Source organism: Homo sapiens, chromosome 10 (genome assembly GCF_000001405.40).
Source record: "Homo sapiens chromosome 10, GRCh38.p14 Primary Assembly".
NCBI classification, from domain to species: domain Eukaryota; kingdom Metazoa; phylum Chordata; class Mammalia; order Primates; family Hominidae; genus Homo; species Homo sapiens.
In genome coordinates, this window is record NC_000010.11 from 103877334 (window position 1) to 103900434 (window position 23101).

The following is a 23101-nucleotide window of genomic DNA, read 5'->3' on the forward strand; positions in this document are numbered from 1 at the left end:
ACCCAGATTTTTCACCAATTCACACTGACATTTTCTCAAATCAGTCTGAAAAGAGATTGTCTGTTTATTATCTCTATGCAAAAACCCAGGGCTATGCTGTGGTCTTCAAAATCCCTCTTTATGTTCCAAAATGAAAACTTATCATTTAAATTTGACATATAGGAAAGGACTAGAGCCTTTTCAGGAATTTGGAGTTTGATTAGAATTCTGGGGAACACAGAACCTTTTGCTGTACTGTGATTTACCTATTCAGGTTTATTTAATAAATACAGTAGAGGTTAACAGATGATAGTGCAAGTTCAATAGAAGTAGGGTGATTTAAAAACATTCTGGATTACAATGAAAACTCACTTATGTGGGAGTTTGAGCTCACATTTACAGCCTCCACCAGCAGAAATCATGCAAATAAGAACCACTGCAGAGTTCTTTGTCCACAGACACCATCTCCCTTCAGGATGGTCCTGCTTTTCCCCCAGCACCTGTGCAGGCATCTCTGGCGAGCCTTATCACAGTCTTTCTGAGTTTGCCTGTATGCTTCACATAAATGTAGTAAAAAAACAATGAGACGCTTCTTTGGGGCAACTGCTGTAGAGGCCACTAATGAGAAAGTGTAGATGTTTCCATCATGGAAAATTACAAGTTTACTTGGTTTCAGTCCTTGGCACTAAGTCTTAGGTTCCTTGTCACTGAACAGCCTTCTTTCCACTTGGCTTCTCTTGGCCAGCATCCTGGCACACCATCAGAGGAGAAAATAATGAGAAAGAAGTGTCTTACAGGGATGGGGAGCACTGGTGGCTTACCATATGGGCATAATCATGGCTCTTCAAACAAATCCTTGACCAGACAGTAGCACTATTTGTCTTCTTGCCTACACAAGCTACATGTGGGGTTCACACCTCCTGAAACATGTGCACACTAAGAGAACTGGAGAATGTTTGCTCAGTTTCCCTCCTTTTCAGGGGAACCCTCTGGCTGGTCTTCAGTACATGAGCAGTGACCCAGCTGTGGTTAGCTCCAGAGAGTTTTCTAAGAGTCCCTCATGTTCTTAGAGTTCTGATGTTGCTTAGAAGACAGAGGCCTACCTCATTCTTGGTTTACTCATGCTTCAGGTTACATGAATGTGGGGTGGGGAGTGGGAAATAGCTTTATAATTTTTGTAGAAATTATATAAGGAGTCAGGAGTTTGAGACTGCCCGGGCCGAGTCTGGCTTACACACCGGTTGAATTCTTGTCCAGCGCCCAAGAAGAATGAGAATGTACTGACAGTGGAAGAGTGAGCACTTGCTAATTATAAAAATGCCAAAGGATAGCTATGTGGGGTAAAAAGCACCTGAGATCTCACCATGCAGAGGTAACATGTGCATCCCTTTGGTGAGAATTTCTAGTAATCTGTCTGATGTGTATAATTATTCATCCAGCATTTCCCAAATATATTTGTGAACATAGTGTTAGTTTGTGTTCATCCAGGAGCCAATCCTGAGACAGAGACCGGAAAGCAAGAAATGCATCTGGGAGGTCAGCATGTGGTAAAGGGGAGCGGGGAAGTAAGGCAGGGAGGGTGAGGCTGGTGGTTATCAGGTTAGCTGCTCCTGTGGGTGGCTGGGTGGTGCTCAGTCCCACGGAGGAACTGTGGAAAAGAGTATGGAACGTGTGCCTCAGCAATGCTTACCTGAGGGCGAGGGAGCTGGGGCATTTACAGCCAAGGTGCTGTTGGCTGAGGCTGCTCCCTGGGGGTGTGACTTCTGAGCACTTCCAGCCTGCACAGCCTACTAAGACATGTGAGAAAGCACCCCCGCAACCACTGCCCCTAGGAAAGAGGCAGACACTGGCAGCCGGAAGGCAGCCAGACACATACTTATTGGTCGTATTGCTTAGGAGATGCGTCAGGCACTGTTCTAGGTGCTGGGGACATGGAAGGAAACAAAACAGAGAATTCTGCCATCATGGAACATTCTGTCTATTGGGGGAAAATAATAAACAGGGCAAGTAAGAAACCATGGAGTGTGTTAGGCAGTATCAAGTACTGTGAAGAAAAACGAAGTAGGAAAGGGAGTTCTGGGAAGGGGGACAGGAGATGGGTTGCAAACAGCGAAAGAGGAATGAGGGCAGGCCTCACTGAGAAGGTGACACTCAAGTAAAGGCTGGAAAGAGGGCAGAGGGAGGCACTTCACATGGTTACCTGGGAAGAGGAAATAGCAGGAGCACCAGCCCTAAGGCAGGAATATGCCGAGGCATGTGTGCAAGGCCCGTGCGGCTGGGCTGGGAGGGCAGGGTAAGCGGGGCCGTGCTGACCTCTGTGCAGCCTCAGGCTCCTACCTGGGGCAAGACCGAAGGCTGTAGGAGAGTGGGAGCATTAACAGGGTGGCAACAGCTGCTGTGCTGTGAACAGCCCAAGAGGGGCCAGGGCGGAAGCAGAGAGGACTGAGGAGGCCGGGGAGGAGGGTGAAGCAGTTAAGATTCTGGAGATATTCTGAAGGTAGAGCCAAAAGACTTGCAGACAGATTGGATGTGAGGTATGATAGAAAGAAAGAAGCCAATGGATTTGGTTTGAGCAACTGGATGGAGCTACCTCTTCCTGAATCAGGGACATTTTCCAAAGGAGTGGCACAGGATTTTTTTCTCGGTCACTTTGCAAGCCAGGGACCTCTGGCTGGTGACGGCCCACCTGGGCCTCGCTTGACCATGCTACCTGCTGCAGGAGACGGCCCGCCCACTTCACCCGCCTGGGCCAAGTATGGCTTCCACACTGGTTGAGTTCTTGCCCAGCACCAAAGAAGAATGAGAATGTGCTGACAGTGGAAGAGTGAGCAAAGCTGGGAGTTTTATTGAGTGATGAAACAGTTTTCAACAGAGAGGAGACGTGGGGGTGGTCCCCCTACCCAAAGGCAGGAAAGTCCCCTTAATATGGGGGAGTCTGGGTCTTTTTATGGGCTCAGAATGGGGGGAGGGGCAGGCTGTAGGTATTACTGGAAAAGGCAACATTCGATTGGTTAAGGCGTTATTCAGAAAGAACAATTGGGAAAGGGTGGGCAAACAGGAACAGAAGTTCCCACTCTGCGTGGTGGGTTTCATCCAGGACCAGCAATCTGGTCTTTTAGCCTTCAGGCTGATCTTTGCTTGAACGTGGGGTTTCATTTGGGACCCTCCCCTCTCTGCCTAGGCATTTGGCTGCCTCATGTCACTATCAGGAGCAAGCCTGGGGTCAGGAGTAATTGGGAGCCTGGCTTTGGGCCTGTGAAATCTGAGATGTCCATTAGAGACCTAAGTGGAGATGTCAGTAGCAAACTGAATATAGGGGTCTGCAGTTCAGGGAAGAGGCCCATTCTGGGTTTAAACTGAGGTGTTAGACAGCATGTAGATGGTATAATCCATGTGGCTGCTGGAGACACCCCAGTGAGCAAGCCAGATAGAAAAGAGGTCTGGGACTGAGTCCTCAGGGAGGCAGAGCACTGAACAAAGGAACCTGAGAAGGAGCAACCAGAGAGCTTGGTGTCCTGAAAGCCAAACGCGGAAAGTACTTCCAGGAGAAGGGAGTGGTCGACTGTGTGTGTGTATATATATATATATGTACATGTGCTACATTTATAAAGACCTCCATGCAGAAATATACACTCTCTCTACGGATATATACATACACACAGGGAGCTGTAGATAATGGTGTTATACTATAGAAACAGATCTATAACTCTATCTACTTCCCACTAAATCTACTAGGGACAGTGTGCCATGGCAACACTGTCTGTCTGCTTTCATCATTTTTTTCATAGCTGCATAGTATTTCATTGTGCCCAAGAACCGTAATTAACTTTTTCCCTATAGGTATTTTCCCCAATATAGAATTCTAGATTATACAGCAATGAACACCTTGTGCAACCATCCTTTCACACTTGTGTAGCCATCTCCTTGAGATAAACCCCTAAGAGCAGAGTTGCTATAGGCAAGGGTATGCCCTTTTTACCTTCTGATTCTGAACTCCTTCCTGGGCAGCCCCACTAATCAGATGCATTCAACGTGGAACAGCTGCTGACCTCAAGGAAGAACTGCCCAGGACATCATTCCAGGCAGACTCTATGCTAGGGACCCTTCTGTACACAGAGAAGATGCAGGGCAGCCACTACATAATCACTGTTAGAAATCAGCAAAGGTTTGCATCATTACAAAAGTCTATGACAGGAGGCAATCTACTGGTTCTAGCTCTCAGCCTGACGTATCGAGCTGCAGCGGACTTCTGCGTATAAAGACTGTCCTGTTTCCACGGAGAGAGGAGCAACTCTCCAGGCCTAAAGGATCTCCAGCTGAGCCACGAAGAGCTTATCACATCAAGAGCAAATGCAGCAGACGAAGGCAGTGCCTTCTGTGAAATGACTGTAATTAACTCCAAATCTTTCTCCACACTTTATTTTTGCTGGCTGGATTTGTCATTTTGCTGTCAGAACAGGCCTACAACATACCTCAGATGTTTTTCCTTTACCTTGTCATTCTGAGCAAAAGCATGACTCCATCACCTGTCTGGGCACATACCGAGTCTTTGTCTGGATGGTGTCAGCACATCCTGCACACTCAGCGGCAACCCTGAAAATAACATCTACCACCTGCCAGGCAATTGGCTGACTGCCTCCGTGATCTTCAGGGGCATCGAGGGACAATGTATTTAGTCATGCACCTCTGTAAGTGCAGGGAAATGTACTGGGACACCTTTCGATTCCCAAGGAAATAAAAGGAAAATGACAAACACATAGTCACGCTGTGGATCCCTGTTTATTCCCATCTCTGGGCAGGCCTGTAAAGAGCATCGACCCAGGTCTCAACCCCACTGCTGGTAACTGAGCCACAGAAACTGTAAGCACTCATCCAGGGAGAACTACTCCCCTAAACCGGTTCTTAGCCAGCAAGAGAGGCCCACAGGAAGGTCTCTGATAACCTGAAGTTTTGAAAAGCTTAGAACTGTGTGATCAGGCCATATGCCCCTCAGTTCCTGAATGTTCACTACCCTGTGGTGTCCCTTTGCCATGGAAGAGACTCCAACCACACACATCAGTTAAGCTGCCAACACTGTTTCCTCCCCATTCTGCTCTGCGAACAACGCACAGTCCAGCCAGGAGCTCAACAGGGAGGGTTTTCTTGTTGTGTCATGGCTGAGATCAAAGTCATTGTACACCAAGGACATAGTGGACAGAAGGGAGCCAACAACATTTATGCCAAATCCCATTCCCAAGATGACTATATTTTATAGTTTATTATGAGGTAACTGCCTCCAGACAGATAAGCCCCTGCATGATGCTGAAAGTCAGAGCCTGGGGGTGAATGCCACCTTATCTTTGTCCTCCTCAGCTGGTCTGCGTGTCTCTGCTCAGAACGCTGTGTAGTAGTGCTCCATTGTGCTGACAATGTCACTCTGGTCCTCCAGGAGCTCCAGAACTTGCTGCAGCACAGCCTCGCTCAGGCCCGGGCGGATGCTCAGGCGAGCACAGGCCAAGATGTGCAGGAAGTGACAGCCCTTCTCCATGTCTGCAGGAAAAAGGTAGGTGGCTGAGTGTGGACACAACTGTCAGGCCCTCCTCTGTCCTCTCCATACCTGACTTGGCATCTGCATTCTGACCAGATCCCCAGATGATCTTTATGCACATTAAAGTCAGAAATGCATGATCTACCTGATCACAAAAACAAAACAGAAACACCTGTTCTCAGGCCCCTGATGTCACCACGGCGACATGGAGCCACTGCTCAGGGACTCTGAACTTCAACCTTCAAGGATTCCCAATCAAAGATTTTTTTATCTGTAACCTAGTGGATTTTTAGTGCTTGATAAACTTTTTTCTGTGGGGTAATTACATGTATAAGTGTAACGTATTCAGTGCCAAACCTCTAGTTTCTCAGGGAGGAGCCCTCTTGAAACTCACAGCAGAGCTGGTTTGCTGCAGCCTCCGTATGCTTCCCCCTAAGTCCTGATTTGATGCGGCTGCCTGGTGAGAAGGGATTCCTACCTTTGGCCTGTTCTCATTCCTCTCTTCCTGGCTTCCAAAAGTCTTATCTGTGATGGTTGTATTCCTAGTAACCTCTTATGCTCTGCCCCAAACTAAGACCATCTAGTATACAACAATACAAATTCAGAGTTAGTAACCTCTTTCCTAGTTGAAATCAATGACTTAAACGTTGGTAATGAGAAAATGAAATAACTTTTATCTGAAGAATGCAAGTCCTTTTAATTATCAGGCCCAGAGAGACACGACCATGAAACGGAAATCACGCCCTACTCCTACATATTCACCTCGGAAACTGCTTGCTATTGGCACAAGTAGTTATAAATTAGCCTAATAATGCCAAATTGAACACTATAATCCACACCCTATGGCTTAACAATGTATAGCCAGTCACCAATCAATGTTATCTATAAACCAATGAGAATTCCTGACAAACAACTTTGTATCAGCCCACTCCCTGTCCTCCTTTTTGGCTTTTAAAAATCCACTTATGGGCTAGGTGCAGTGGCTCACGCCTATAATCCCAGAACTTTGGGAGGCCGAGGTGGGCGGATCACCTGAGGTTGGGAGTTCGAGACCAGCCTGGCCAACATGGTGAAACCTCCTCTCTACTAAAAATACAAAAATTAGCCAGGTGTGGTGGCATGGACCTGTAATCCTAGCTACTTGGGAGGTTGAGGCAGGAGAATCACTTGAACCCAGGAAGCAGAGGTTGCAGTGAGCCGAGATTGCGCCACTGTACTCCAACCTGGGTGACAGAGTGAGACTCCATCTCAAAAAAAAAAAAAAAAAAAAAAAAAAAATCCACTTATCACTGCTGCTAATCAGAGTGTATATTCAGAGAAACCTGAATCTGTGCTCCCCAGCTGCAATCCTGAAACTTGGCCCAAATCAACTCTCTGCTTGTATTAATTTTGCCTCAGCTCCTTCCTTTTAGGTCGTCGGCAGTAGTCAAACTGGGGGTTGTGCCTATTAGGGGATAACGAAACCAATTTTTGTAGGTTGCGATCAGCAACTTTTTCTTACCAAACTCAAAGAGAGCAGAAATAGAACGTTACAGAATATCTTGCATTGTAATTTGGATACATATTAATTCATGAAACTTAATTTCATATACATCTTATGCATTAGAATTATATAATTTATTGGGTCATGATGTAAAATGTATTTCTAACTTTGAGTCAAAGTCAAACTTCTTTACCAAAAGCAAACCCTCTCCAGTTGTCACAGTTTAAAACTCCATGGCAGGCGCAGGCATGGTCTCTCTCTGCCGTATACCCAGTATCTGGCACACAAAAGGTGCTCCACAAAGTCACTGAAAGTTGTTTACAGATGAAAAATGCTTTAGGCTTCAGGAAGGTGCTCGAAGAGGTATTGCGGTGTGAGGCAAAGCACGGTTCAAGGTTTGGTGCACTTCTGTAGCTTTGGGCAAGCCATCCCTAGGCCTGAGTGTTCTCAGCTGTGGTGAAAACCACTTCCAAGGCCCTTTCCAACCCTAAGGTTCAGAGACTGCTCCTGGGCTAACAAAAATTTGCTAAATTCTGACCTCTAGTGGCTGTGTCCACTCATTACTCCTTCCAACTGGGATTGCTGGCATCTATACTTCCAGGCTGTTTCTTCAACATTCACTCCATAGACTTCCTGAACACCTACTATGTGTGCATTGCTGAGCAAGGAGGAGCAAGTAGAGCTTGGCAGACCTGGAGCTGCCACTGGAGTCCACCACACCAGAATTCAAGCCCTGGCTCTACAACTGGGACAAAGTCACTCCCGGGAACAAAACCACTTCCTTCTCAGGGTGGCTGTGTGGATGAGAGACCAGGGGGAACTACTATGATTTGGTTCATCATATCCGTAATCCAAGAAGATGAATGTAACTTAGTTCCTGCTCTAGAAAAGCTTCATCCCTTCCCAAGAAGAAAAGCCTCTCAAGGAGGAAGAGCTGACCAGCAAGCAAGGATAGGTTTGATGATGGAGGGTGAGGGGCTCCAACCACACAGACCTGCACACGGTAGGGAGGAGCAGAGGGAATTTAGTGCTGCTCAGCTTTTAGTTTCTGCAAGGCCTGGATGCTTGGACCCAGGGCTCAAGGTGACTTACAGGCATCCATGGGGCCCAAAGCAGTGATGCTGACTGTCTCAGAGGCCTTCAACTATTTAGTCAGAAAGGCTGTTCTGCTGAGGGTTATCTGGTGAGGCTGTTCAAAAGTGATCTCCAGTCACTTCGGTAATGTGAACTTAGACTCCTCTCTATTTTTAATTTTTATTTTTTGTAGAGACAGGGTCTTGCTATGTTGCCCAGGCTGGTCTCGAACTCCTGGCCTAAGCAATCCTCCCAAGCATTGGGATTATGGGAGTGAGCCACTGTGCCTGGCCTTAGATTCTTCTCTAAGTGAGAAATTATTATAAAACAGTAAAAGTAGGAAAGGCCAGCAAGGAGCTCCCCAGGGGTTAGTACAATTACATAATTCGACTCTTCTGGAACAAACCCACAAGCCGAAGCAGACTTTTCTGAAAAGTGTTTGCCTGGCAGACATAGTTATCTTATGACGGATCACTATGAGCGGTGATAACTGCGCCTTATATTTTCCCAAGAACTTTCACATGTAGCCTGATTCATACTATACCCCATCATACCTCCACCAGAAACCACAAAGGCTAATGTTCTAGAGACCCAAATGACATAAAGATACATTTCAGATATAACCTACTACTATAACTACAAAAGGTTAAACTTCTTTAAGTCTTTTTTAAAAGTTTGTCTTAAGTTTAAAAAAAAAATCCTCCAGTATAAGTAGTGTTATATGGTACTCAGTTTCTACCAAAAGCAGCAGTTCTCTCCAGCTCTGGGATAGTAAAAAATGAACCTGAGCTAAATACATGGGAGATTTTTGAAAAGCTAATGGTATAAAGTAACATTTAGTGAAAGGCTGCCATTTTGGAACTCATCAAATGTTAATTTTCTTCGGTGTGAAATGATTTGGTGATCAAATAGGAGAATTTCTGCATGCTTAGCAAATACAAACTGAAGTTTTTAGTCAATCTAGGTGAAGGGTATATCGGTGTTTATTGTACCAGTCTTTTAATTTTTTTTTTTTTGATAAATTGGAATATTTTCAGAGTAAAAAGTTAGAGATAAAAAGACATGTTCAACATAGAGCTCTTTTGGATAATTTGCCATTGTTGTACCCATACTGAAAGCCAAAATCCAGATTTTGTCAACTTTACTCCAACAATAATACAGCAAAATCCACATACAGATTCTATCTGAAACTGCCTCCTTCCAGATCAATATTAAACCAAGTAGAGGGTGAGCCTTCAGGCCTGCAGGCTAGAGAATTAGGGGTTACCACTTGTGCCATTAGGAAAGAGAACTTCATTTTTATTTAATACTTTTTGGATCATAATTATGCACTGAGTACTCTTCTAACTTTCTAAATGCCAATTCATTTACTTCTTATAAAAACCCATCTTGTAGGTACTATTATTATCCCCACTTTGCATTTAAAGAACCCAAGGCACTTGCCCAACATTACACAGCTAGCAAGTGGCAAAGCCGGGATTCAAACCTAGGCAAGGTGGCTCCAGAGCACAGCTCCTCACAATGCCGCCACATTGCCCATCTTCAGAGAACAAGTATCAATCCTTCAGGGACCTAAGACAGGCTTGATGTTCATAGTCCTTTCATTATTGAAGGGTTAGCCTTTGTGAGACACTCATAAATGACTTCAAGTCCTTCTACCAATCATCCTGACAAGGAAAAACTCCAGGCTATATTCTGTTTGAAAGGCTAGAAAGGAACTAAAGGCCCAGTAGGTATGGTTAGACTGAGGGTCGGATATTTACCTATACATGTAACAGCATGCTGTCCAGCTAATGAAAAGACGTAGGCACTTTCATGTGTACTGTTGACCTCTAGAAGGCAATGTTAGATCTAAAATACAAGGTGTAGGACAATGTATATCGTCGGCTAAACTTCACTTGTGTTTTCTGTCAAGGATAAATAATATGATATGTTTGTAAGTGCATATCTGTATAGTTTATCCCTGATAGAAAACACATATCCAACAGGATATGCAAGTAACTAATAACAACCACTGCCTTTGGAGAGGGGAACACAGAAGCTGGGGCTCAGTGCTGGGAGGGAGTCTGGCTTTTTGGAGTGGATTTTTGCACTGCTTGGCTTTTCATGAGGGGCATACGTTACTATTCTGAATTGCTATGTTATAACATTATGAAGCGGGGTGGTCACAGCAGGTTCCAACACAGTCCTTATAACATCTTTTATCAGCATTCTCAGTAGCTCAGGCTTCAGAATTCAGCTCCTGGGAGTGTAGTAGTGCCAGGTGATTGGCTAGTGGCTTTTAGAGGCTCCCATTCACAGACTGAGTGGCAGGGCCTGTCCACTTGATGAGCTGTGGGTAGATGTAGATGTTAAACCTGCTACTTTCAGGACACTTCAGAGAGCCAAGTCCAAATGAAATGTGAATTCTTTTCATGTGCTTTACTAGCCCTAGGGTTCAATCCATTCTATTCCTAATGCAGATGAAAATAAGAACCTGGCCAGGAGGCCTGCGAATAGGGTGACTGCAGAGATGTTATCTTGGGAGCATCTTCTCATCCCTTCTTGGCTGAGGAATCCCACATTGCACTGCTCTCAAAAGCTCCTTCAATTGTGGACAGATGGGCTTTTCCCTCAACTAAAGGATATTTGCTTTTATTGTTCTGAATGAAGTGAACAAAGTCCATTCACTTGCACTGAAATAATATATTGCTTTGAGTTTATTTTAAGAGCTGCTGTCACACCACTCTGGGATCCGACCTCATGGTTTCTTAAAGGCTAACTAGGGCTGTCTACCATAAACACCAGTGCTGGAAACCTGGCCCAGCTTCACCCACTGACTCAACCTGGCACAGGTCCAGGCCCCAGGGATGTATGGGCCGAAGGACTGGAGGTGGAGTTCACTGGCAGATCAGGGACCTGGGGTCATTAACAAACTTTTCCAACACTTCTTATTATAGTATGTGTTTGCAAAAGCTAGACTTTGAAAAGTCGCCTTTAAGACCGGTCAGTTTACATAGGATTTAAAGATAGACTAATGCTTCCTTCTCTAACTAGTGTGGAAATGGTATTGTTCCTTGTCAGAGTAGCTACAGTTTCAGTGTCTAACCACTAGGGGCTGAACTAACTCTACCAAAACTATTTTCTAAACCATGTCTTTTGCAAATTAACAGTTTCCAAGATGACTGAATTACACCGTTCATAAACAGTCATGTCTAGAACCATCCCTTCCAACACTGAAAGGCTTTGATGTTAGAATAGAGGGAAATGTCAGGTTTGTGTTCAAAGAAGGGGGGCAAGCATGAAATAGGAAATAACACAAATCAGAGAGAACATGAGAAGCAGAATGACATCAAAACGTCCTAGTGTGGTGACCTCACTGTATCAGAATTCCTTGTCTAGCCCCCACCTCATCCTCTATGGAAACAAAATCCCCAGGGTAGAATCTGGGCTCTGAATGTTCAGAGGGCTCCAAGGTTGAATCTTATGTACAGCCAAGATCACAACAACTGTGCTAGCCCAACACTCCTTTAGAGAGGAGATGGAGGCTCAGGGAGGGCAGGTACTTTGACTATCACCTTTCCAAGTCACTACTGGGAAAAGTCCCGGGTCTCCTGACTCTCCATCCAGTGCTCCCCGGGAGACAGTATCCCCTTCCAGGGCACCAGGGCATCACTTGTACATTATACCACTTACGATTTGGTTTCTGGCAGTCCTGCTGAATGATCCGGTGGATCTTTCTGTGCAGGTCTTTGTCTTCTCTGGTTACCTAAATAGGAAAAATAGTTGAGAGAGAGAGTGTTCTTAGGTAACACAGCAGTTGTGTCATCCAGACTTCCAAATTAGTATTCAGGATAGTTTCTAAAGATTACATAATAATCATCTTCCCTACACCATTAATGTGGTGTTTGATACTTGGCCTAGTGTCAAACCAGTTCTGCCCAGAGGACACGTCCTTGGGAGTTGGTTCATTGGGGCAATGAGGTTAAAACAAAAAAAAAGCTGGAATTGCATACTTTTAAGGGACAACTTTCTTCTTCAACACTCATAACACATTTTTGTTATTTGTTGTTATAGTTTTGAGCGAGGCACAGTGATCAAGGCCTCCAATCTCCACCCCATGACTCCTTCTTCTGGGCCCTGACACCTGTCTTGTGTTGCATCAGTTTTCTTGCTTCTCCCAACCACAAGGAAAAATAAAAGGAGAAAAAAAAAAAAAAAACCCTGCAAGGACAGGCTAGCATGAGAGTAAAGCTAGCCTATCCACTGAAACACATTCTGCTCTCAAAGGTAGACATAACTTAGTCTTTTTCTTTTTCCTTTTTTTTTTTTTTTTTTTTTTTTGAGACGGAATCTCACTCTTATCGCCCAGGCTGGAGTGCAGTGGCACGATCTTAGCTCACTGCAACCTCCGCCTCCCAGGTTCAAGTGATTCTCCCGCCTCAGCCTCCCGAGTAGCTGGGATTACAAGCGTGCACCACCACGTCCAGCTAATTTTTGTATTTTTAGTAGAGATGAGGGTTTCACCATGTTGACCAGGCTGGTCTCGAATGCCTGACCTCAAGTGATTCCACCCGACTTGGCCTCCCAAAGTGCTGGGATTATAGGCGTGAGCCACCGCACCTGGCCAACTTAGTCTTTTTTAACCAGCTCAGATTAAGAGGGAAGCAGCACACAACAGGTTTCACCTTCATGTTCCACAGTGAATCTAGTAACAAAAAAAGAGAGAAAGAGAAAGAAAAAAAAGAAACAGAAAAAGAGAGAGGAAGAAAGGAAGAAAGAAAATAGGCATGCAAACAAATAGCTGTAAGTTTCCTCCTTAAAGACAGCCCAAGAATGCCTGTCTGACCTGCCTTACTGGAGGGGGCATCTTGAGAACACCTGCCTTCTCTCAGCTCACAAGGTTATGACGAAGATTAAACAAGGTCATGTGTGAGAGCTGCTGAACCTAGGAAAGCACTAGGCAAACAGAAGTGTTGACTTATTTTAACCATTTCCCTGAGGCAGGGCTTCAGGAGAAAGGTGACTACAAAGCAGTGGAGAGATGAAGTCAGAGATGGCGACAAGAGATCTATTTGTGCTTGATCACAATGATTCACAGGAGGAAGTACCCAGCCCCACCACGCCTTGCCCTGGACTGCTGCTCCTCAGGAAGGGCTGCTCTCTAAAGGCCTGGGAGGAAAGGTGTGTCCCAGAGCAGGGCTCAAGGTGAGCTGCCCCCATAGCTTCTCCAACTTCCAGGAAGCAACCAACTCCCACCCGGCCTTCCCATGCCAGGACTCCCATCCTGGGACGGTGTGGGAGGCACTCGCCCTTATGTAGACTGGGATACCTGCTTCAAAAGTTATTTAAATGGTATTGTAATTTCTAAAATCTCTCTAAAGAGGGGAGTCACTAGGGTAAATCAACATCAGGAAATGTCATATTAAGAAAAGCTCCCCGTCAGGAATCTTGCCTGTGAATAGTGAGACTTCTGGAATACCACAGAATTTGATCAGTCTCTGGGAGAGCTGCACATAACGGAGTCCACACCCACTGATGTCAGTGGTCCTGAGAAGGCCCATTTCCACCTTAGCTCCTCCCAATATTAAAGGTATGCAGCAAAAGGTGAACTTTTAACTTGAAAGAGTGAGGCAAACAAGCACCTACACTTCTGCTGGGAGTCAACTGGTACAGCCTTCAGGCAGGCCCATCACACTGTGTTGACCAAAAGCTTAAATGGCCATGCCCTCTGCTCCAGCAGCTCTTCTTTTAAGAGTCAATCTTACAGAAATACTGACATGAGTTCACAAATATAGTTGTGCAAAAATAGCCACAGCAACACCATTTGTGACAGCAAAAGTTAGAAATACCCTAAGTACCCATCAAAAAGGAATGTCTAAAAAATACACAACAGGTACCCATAGTATGGAATACCCTGAGGATGTTAAAAAGAACGAGGTAGATTTATAACTACTAATGTGGAAAGGTGCCTGTCATGTGTTATCTTGGTACCAAAAAAGGTACAGAGCATTATTTAGAGTAGCAAGTCTCAATGGTCCCAGGAGATACCCGGCAATGTCCAGGGACATTTTTGGTTGCCACAGTTGGGGTGTTGCTCCTGGTCTCTAGTAGGTGAAGGTCAGGCATGCTGCTAAATATCCTGCAATGCACAGGATAGTTCCCATGGCAATCGATCACCTACCCCAAATAGTGTTCAGATTGAGAAGTGTCAATTTAGAAGATGATCACATTTTTTATAAAGCAAAAAGGTTCTTGCATAAGTCAGGGATTGGAAACAATGAAAAAGCCACAGGAGCACATTTGTATATGTATGCATCTGTAAATGTACAGATAAATGTCTAGAAGGATATACAGTTATCTCTCGGTATACTCAGTGGATCAGTTCCAGGACCCTCAGGTATACCAAAATCCACACACACTCAAGTCCTGAAGTTGGCTCTGTGAAACCTGCATGTACAAAAAGTTAGCCCTCATATGTGGGTTTCACATCTGCAAATACTGTACTTTCCATCTGCATTTGGTTGAAAAAGTCTGCATATAAGTAGACCCATGCAATTCAAACTTGTGTGGTTCATGGGTCAACTGTATTATTAAAAGAGATACCTCGGGGAAGGATAAGGGCCAACTTTCACTTCTGATTTTATGTACCTCCTTAATGATTTTTAAGAATAATTAAGTGGTTATTCATAAGTAATAAATATATTTGTAATTGAAGCTACAAAGAAAAAAAGTTAAGTTGCAAGTGTCTTACATAGTATAGGTTATCAAAACCATCATCTTTCTGGAAAACAAGTCCTTTTTCCTGCAGCAGTTGTATAGCATTCTTAAATATACTATGAATTGCCTTGGAAGTGGTGTCCTTCTTAAAATTCACCTGTAAAGAGAGGAAAAAGAAAAAAGAAAAGAAATAAGTCTCACCTTACGGCACCTGAGAACAACTCCTAGACCAACTGGTTCATGAATTTGTCCAACAGGCCTTTTAACTGCTGAGTCAAAAAGATCCTGGTATGTACCGGCCTAGCAGGATGGTATTTAAGGAGGACTGAGAAGTGTGCCCCGGCAGGTCACCTTTCATAACTGTTCCCTACCTTAGTTGTGATTTTTTTTTTTTTAATGAACTCAACACTCCATAGTGCAGAATAAAAAAAGCTACCCTCACTGTTGGACAATCTTTGACTTATTTTTTATACAAAACCAAAACACTGTATATATATATTAGCCCCCTTTTCCATTAAAATTGAGGCTGTATACAATCTCTTCCTAGGGACTTCAAAGATTTTTTGTATGTTGGAATAATTTGGGGATTCCAGCATGAAGTATTAAATAGCCTCATTATTTTAAATGGAGGACAACAGAGGCTGTGCAGAGATCCACCAAGGGGAGTCCACAAGGCTGAAGGTAGACAGCAGTCCTGGTGAAGCACAGTCCCCACCTAGAAGGGACCTCTGCTGCTGTCAGCTCTCCCCCTCACTTTCAGTGTCTCTTCACTTCTCTGGAGACACGTTTGCCTGGGGAGGGTCATCCAGGTCATCCTGCTTCTTATCCCCGAGGAAGCTAGGCTATCAGCTATGTCCCCCCATGCTTGACCAGATGGGATGCTTCTTGAGTCAGGGACTTTGTTTCATCTTGGCCACCTCCTCCCTAGCACACGTTAGGTGACTGATAAAGTATCTGTGAGATGAATGGAAACAAATACACATTAGAGTGTGTGTATTCTTCTTATTATTCCATTGGGGATTTTCCACTCCTTCCTAAAACAAAGAAAAGGGCGAACAACAATTGCTCTTCAAAGTACAGATCCTTTTTTTTTTTGAGACAGAGTCTCTGTCGCCCAGGCTGGAGTGCAGTGGCGCGATCTCAGCTCACTGCAAGCTCCACCTCCTGGATTCATGCCATTCTCCTGCCTCAGCCTCCCGAGTAGCTGGGACTACAGGCGCCTGCCACCATGCCCAGCTAATTTTTTGTATTTTTAGTAGAGACAGGGTTTCACCATGTTAGCCAGGATGGTCTCGATCTCCCGACCTCGTGATCCACCCGCCTCGGCCTCTCAAAGTGCTGGGATTACAGGTGTGAGCCACCGTGCCCAGCCTACAGATCCATTTTCAATGTGACAGAAATTTGTCAAGATATTGAAAAGATCAGAGTTCCAAACAAATGTGGCAAAGCTTCCAGAAAAGCATTTGAAGGCCAAGTCCTACCTCTATTGAAAGGTACTTACAAAGCCTATGTGGGGCAGCACCCAGAGGTGCTGAAAAAGAGTGGCTGAGATTTGCTAATGACATTTCCTCAAGGGGAGAGGAAAGAGCCTCCACAGGGTCTCAAGTGTTCACAAGTCCGTCCCAAAGTAACCTTCTCTTTCTAGAAGAGACCTCCCAAACAGGCTTTCTGTTACTCTAATAGATCCTGGTGATGTTTCACAAATGTGTTCTCCTGGGCTAACAATAACAGCCTAACACACTAATTGAATTATCAGTCTAAGTTTTTCCTTAAAAGAACAAGCTGGAGAACCTTGTCATTAGAGCCCCCAAACCGACAAACATTCCAGGTTATGACAGCTTCCATTCAGAAGGGAGAATAAGGCTGAGAAATATTTGACAACTCCCACAGGCAGAAAACCTCTCTGGGTGTGTTTAGAATAAACACCACACCTAGCAATCCTCAGCCACACATCTTTTTATTCACGAGGCTTAGGGCAAAACTGTTTTTAATTTCATACATGAGTGCTCTTAGGGGATGCACCATCAGTGCAACATAGACTCCTTTGCAAACCTTCATAACTACTTAATCTTTATAATTCTAAGGAGATCTATCTTCTTTAGTCAATTTAACATAAGGATCCTAAAGGTTAGGTTTATTACATCTCTTAGCAAGATAGAAATAAATTGGAAACTAACTAGAGATGAGTATTACATGATTATTCCTGTCTTTAAAAATGACTCTTGGTTATCCCCAAACCATATAAAAAGCCTAGTTCCCCCTCCCAGATTTCAGTCAGATCAAGCAGCAGGAAGAGACAATGCTAGGCCTAGGAGATTAAAAACACAGTTTCAGCTGTGAGCAAGGACTCAACAGAAATGGCTCTCTGTAAATATAAACAATACTTGAAGCTTCCTTTCCAAAAACATTTGCCTCAGCTGACCCTGGGACATATTTCCCTGGCCTAGTTATAAAGACCATAGTCTCAAGGGTAAAGCCACTAATCGTCTCTTCCAGCCAGCAGCTTTTCCTGGACTGGGATCTGTGTCTTTCTTGTCTTTTTCAAAAAAGCAATGACAGACTCATCAGATTTAGGAAACCGAAATTGCTCACAGGCAAAAAAAAAAAAAAACCAAACAAACAAAAAAAAACAGTCACTAGCTAAACGTGCTGAGCTTTACCAAGCCTCGCCTCATCTCAGGTCAGGAACTGGGTGGATCCCTGAAATATATATAGTCTTCATTCCCAAACAAACTCAACATTCATCCAGCTGTCAAAGAAACAATGGTTTTGCAGGCCCTGCTTATCATGTTTCTGGATTTGCTAAGAAGGACCACTATGAAAAAAAGGAGGAAACATTCAAGCCTGCTCTCTCTCTGCCTCTAAACTATAACACCATCACAATGATTTTTTCTGTTAAGCTTTCATCTGTATGACAACAGAAAGTGCCAAAGGATCTAGGGTTTCAGTCTCATTGTAAAGCACCTTTAGTCTCCCAGGAATCTATTAAACAGAACTCAGTTTAATCACACTGACCTCCCCAACCAGAGCAATGTGAGGGACTAATTCATAATTGATAGAAAAAAGAGTTTCCAAAGACAAAACAAATATAGTGCCATATTCGATTCTTTTTAAACATATAGCACCAGGCAGACACAAGTTTCTGCTGTAAGCATTTTCAAAAAGATATGCCAAAGGTTCCCCACAGATCATTTTGAATGGAGGAGTCTTTTAGTCCTCAAAGAGTCCTTAAGTCTCTCTCTCTACTTAATTATAGCTATCACGGAAGAGCTGGCTTCATGTGAAAAATATGGTCTTCGCTAAGCTTTAAAGTTTCTATCCAAACATGCTGATAGAATCATCAGAAGTCCTAGGAGGTCAATTTGGCTTTGAGCCGCCTCTAAATGATTAAGTGGGAAGAAGGTCAATCTTGCTGTCAGCCGACAGCTGGAGCGCTGCAACTGTTTAGAAGCAACCTTGGCAAAGAACAAAGCAGCCAGTCGTGACCCTTTCCACTTTGGTGTTTTCTGAAACGATATCCCTCATCTCCTCGTATGAAACCATGGGTCACTGGGCACATCAGGCTGTTGCCCAGAAGAGATAATTAGGAGCACAAACAAAACTGAGAAGCAGTGGTCATGCCCAGGAAGTCAGGATGTGACTCAGTATCTGTTCCACCAAAATCAAGAACTTATGTTACCTAGCAAGGGTGTTCACAGCAGCCTTGTTGGTGATGGCAAGAGATCAGAAAACATCTAAACAGTCCAGGAATGGACAGACTGGTCATATACATGATGGTACATGTGACAAAGACTGTAGGGGCCAACCTATATGTACGGCTAGGAAAGAATCTGTGAGACATACGTCAATGAAAAGTGTGGTGTCTCATAGTATACTACGCCATGCTACCATCTGTGTGAAACAGAAGGGGCTACAGTGACTTAGAGTACACACAAGCACAGACTATCTCCAGAATGATATTCCAGACACTAGTACTGGTGCTTGTCTCAGGGGAAAGGGAGTGAGAGGGAGGATGGGAAAGAAACTGACCTTTACCTTTACACTTTGTGGGACAATTTGAATTTTTAAAAATCATTCATTCCTTCAATCAGCAAATAATGAGTGAGAACCTGCTTTATGCCAGCCCCGTTCTAGGCCCTGGGTAGAGAGCAAAGAATAAGACAGACAAGTCCTCTGCTCTCACAGAACTTAAATTCTGATGGAGGAATAGGCAAGCAAACAAATAAAGACCAGTGACGTCAGATACAAAAACAGGGTGTAAGGGTGAGGGGCCACGTGGCAATCAGAGCAGCTAGACGGCCAGGGAGGGCAAGGAGGGACATTTAAGCTGAGATCATTCCCTGGTGGGATAAAGAAAGTAAATAAATGAGTCACGTTACAACAACAACAAACCTAAGAACTGCAATGAAAGGGAAAGCCTAAAATCAATGTCTCAAATAATTCTTAATTCCAAGCAATACGTCAACACCAAGCAACAAAACAAGTTACCCAAATAAAACTAGGGGTAAAAACATGGAGATAACTTTTTCTTTTTTTTTTGTTGGGACAAGGTCTCACTCCGGGTGACAGTCAGGGGTCAGGGTCACCCAGAGTGAGACCCTGTCTAATTTTTGTATTTTTAGTAGAGACAAGATTTCACCATTTTGGCTAGGCTGGTCTTGAACTCCTGGCCTCAAGTGATCTGCCCACCTTGACCTCCCAAAATGCTGGGATTACAGGCGTGAGCCACTGCGCCTGGCCCCTCGTTACTTAATCTTATTATGCTTAATATTTGAGTAGAAAAAAATAATAATAGTCTAAGGTCCATAGTAGTAGGTTGTTAGTATTCATTGAGATGGATGTTTAATCTCAGCAGAAGCCAAGTGACAGGGAAGTAGATGAGAGGAGGTAATTATCCATCCAAGATGATTTATTCATCAGCAAAATGATTCGCGAACTTGAACCATGGTTTTTAATGACTTGCTCTGTCTTTTTCAGAATAAGATTAACCCATTGTGTTTTAGGAGTTTAAATAAAGACCGAGTTGTATTCAGACTCATTTGTAAGTAAAATTTCAAGGAACACTTAAGTAATTTTTTATTCTTTAATTTTTTATTCCTCTTAGAAAAAGTTATCTTGGTTAGCCAGGCGTGATGGCACATGCCTGTGGTCCCAGTTACTTGTGAGGCCAAGGCAGGAGAAGCACCAGCCTGGGCGACAGAGTGAGACTCTGTCTCCGAAAAAAAAAAGATTAGGTAAGGAGGAAGAAGGGGCAGGTCCAGCCTTATGCCTCATTTCAAGTTCTTAGTAGTCAATGACCTTTCCAGAATAGAAATAATGTGTGACAGAACCATTCCCTCCGTTCCCTGGGTCAACTCTGTGAATCTTCATGCCACAGTCACTTTCACCCACACCTGCAGTTGCAGATCTGGGGCAGGGAACCAGAATTCTCACATGGGCATGCTGCACTCACTTGGTCGGAGGAGGCACTGTGAATCACAGGCTGATTGGCAAGGGACAGCAAAGACTCCACCATTTCCAGCTCCTGCTGGTAAAAGCTCTGCACTCTGTTCTCCATGAGGAATTCTTTGGCTTTTTCACTCAGCAAACTCGTGAGACTGGGGAGGTCCAGGGCGCCTGGATTGCTGCGGAGGGAAAGTTTTAAAGAGCTCTGCAGAAAACCATCACCTTTGTTCCTTTTTGGTGTATAAAAACCAGAAAATTAGCTAGAAAATGCAACACTATATTGGAGTTTGTTTTTCATATACAGAGTAATATATACAGGGAACATCATGTGGTTGTTTAAAATGATGAGGCAGAACTACAGGAACTAAGATATTCATGACAGATTAGGAGAAAAAAGTCAAACTGCAGAACAGCATGTAAGGTATGGTCCTATTTTTATATAAAAAAAATGGAAACCCACAAAATCTATGGGTGAATATTCATGCTTGTGTAAGCACAGAAGAAACTAATTTAAAAAGACACACATTGGCTTATGAACATTGGTAATCTCTGGGGAATGGTCCTGAGGCAGGAGACAGGAAAATGGAGAATTTTCACTTTTTATATGAGTCTATAGTTGTGCTTTTAATATACTTTTTTGAATATATAATATATTCATGTTAAAAAACATTAAAGGATACACAGTAAAGTCTCCTTTCTGTCCCCTTCCTGTCCTATCCTCCGGTCCCCACCCCCGAGGGAGCTGCTGTTACCGGTTCTCTGTGTCTCCTCTCAGAGTTCTTTTATGCACATATTAGCAAATATGCACACATTCTCATTCCTCCTGGGTTTTCTCCCCTATAAAAAAGTAAAATCATCCCTGGTTGAGAATGACCGGTGCAGGTTTTTTTAAAACAGGTTTTTGATTATGACGTGCTATGGTATCATATTTTGATTATGAGGTGACTTGGTGCATTTTTCTTCAGGTTTCTTGCCTTGGGGTTCATTGAGCTTCCTGGATCTGTGAGTTTAAAGTTTTTATCAAACTTGGAAAAATGTCAGGCATTATTATTTCTTCCAAGTGTTTTTCTCTGCTCCTGCCTCCACTCCTCCTTCAGTGACTCCAATTACACCCATAATTTCCTCACGACAACCCTAGGACATCTGTGCTATTATTCTCTTCATGTTACAGTTGAGGAAATTGAAGCATAGAGAGGGTTAGAGGGCTTGCCCAGAGCCCCACAGTGCATAGGTGGATGATTCGGGATTTGAACCTAGGCCGATCCCAGCATCTGGGCTCAGCTGCTTCAGTTTTCTGCCGTGGTCACGTGCTCAGCAGTGATAAGTCACCACTTACCTTAGTGCCTCTTCTTTCTCTAGGGCTGAGCTGTGAAAAGGCTGGTCATAAACTTTCCTGTAGATAGTGGGCAGCTCAAGCATCCTTGCAATTTGAATGTTCCACACTGGGTCGTCCACTTTATCTAACAAGTGACCAGAAAAAAGATGCTACAGAAATTACAAATTACATTGAGATCAATTCTTTCCCAGGCCCAAACTGCTGCTAAGACAACAGTAAATGAGGTGCTGGGTGGGCCTCCTTCCTTGTGAGTGCCCAGGGATCACAGTCTAGATGCACTAAATGGCTCCCAGTCATCCTGCATGAGGGAATGCGATGCCCTAAGTGTCATGGGCTTGGCCAGGGCCAAGGAACCAGGAAAGCACATCAATGTATTGATTCGTCTGCTCCTCTGGTGGACAGCAGGGGCTGTCCTTGAGATTTCCAACTGAAAACCAGCCAGCACGTGCAAAGGGAAGATGATGGGGAACTGTCATATTTCTGATTAGCTGTTTTCATTTAAAGTTAATGGACTTAATGGTATTCAAGAAATTTCTGGCCAGGCACAGTGGCACACGGCTGTAATCCCAGCACTCTGGGAGGCTGAGGTGGGCGGATCTCTTGAGCTCAGAAATTTGAGACCAGCCTGGACAACATGGCGAAACCCCATCTCTACAAAAAATTAGCTGGGTGTGGTGGCGCATGCCTGTAGTTCCAGCTACTCAGAAGGCTGAGGTGGGAGAATCTCCTGAGCCCAGGAATTTGAGGCTGCATTGGGCTGTGACTGTGCCACTGCATTCCACCCTGGGCAACAGTGTAAGACTCTGTCTCAAAAAAAGAAAAAAAATAAAGAAAAAATAAAGAAATTTCCATTATTTTGAAGAATATTCATATTTTGCCCTAATGGATTGACATTCTGAACTTGAAAGTGCTTTGGAAACTCTACTATGTCATCCAAATAAACTTGCCAACCATATATAAAGTAAATAATTCATTTTCTTTCCCAACTTATAATTAGCTGTCTTCAAAATAAAAGTAAGAAATGCTGATTTTCTAAAGAAAGCATGTTAAACAATGTAATTCACTCATTAAATAGAGTTATACCTTAACTGAACTTTTTGAAAGTTTGACTTCCAGCTGAACAAGAGGTTTACTGGACGCACATCCAGAAAAACCACCAATTTGGTAGAAATATCTTGTGCTTACAGTAAGTGGTGGCATGAATCTCTCGCTCTTCTCTGTATGTGCGGATACTGCCTCTGACTCGGATCGTGTCCCCGATCTCTATCTTTGTTTTCTGCTCAATGGTCTCTTGTAGCTTCTTAAGTTGTGAGGTTAAGCTGAGCTCTCTTGCTGCACTTGGAGCAGCTGTAGTTGTTTAGAGCCAGAGGGAAAGAGAAAAAGTTATAACACAATCACTCTACCACATCTGTGAGACAGTTTTAGGGTAAGACCAACACAATATGCTTATTTATTCTACTTCTGAGTAATTGTTCTACTGTTGGAAATCCACATAACCTTTTGGAGTACTCCACTGAGAACAAGGTATAAACTGTAATTATTCAAGAGCGGGGTGAAA

The 23101-nt window shown here is 43.9% G+C and overlaps 1 protein-coding gene across 1 annotated transcript in view; it reads right to left on the minus strand.

The window, feature by feature from the left end:
* Positions 1-235: 235 nt before the first annotated feature.
* The window catches only part of STN1 (STN1 subunit of CST complex), a 40616-nt gene continuing 17750 nt past the window's right edge, over positions 236-23101 (minus strand). Inside the window, exons 5-10 of the mRNA NM_024928.5 lie at positions 22729-22890; positions 21544-21667; positions 20215-20386; positions 14797-14919; positions 11739-11811; positions 236-5508 (exon numbers count right to left, since the gene is read on the minus strand). Coding sequence (NP_079204.2) covers positions 5351-5508; positions 11739-11811; positions 14797-14919; positions 20215-20386; positions 21544-21667; positions 22729-22890 — 812 coding nt within the window. The 3' untranslated portion in view covers positions 236-5350. The remainder of the gene's footprint in view (positions 5509-11738; positions 11812-14796; positions 14920-20214; positions 20387-21543; positions 21668-22728; positions 22891-23101) is intronic.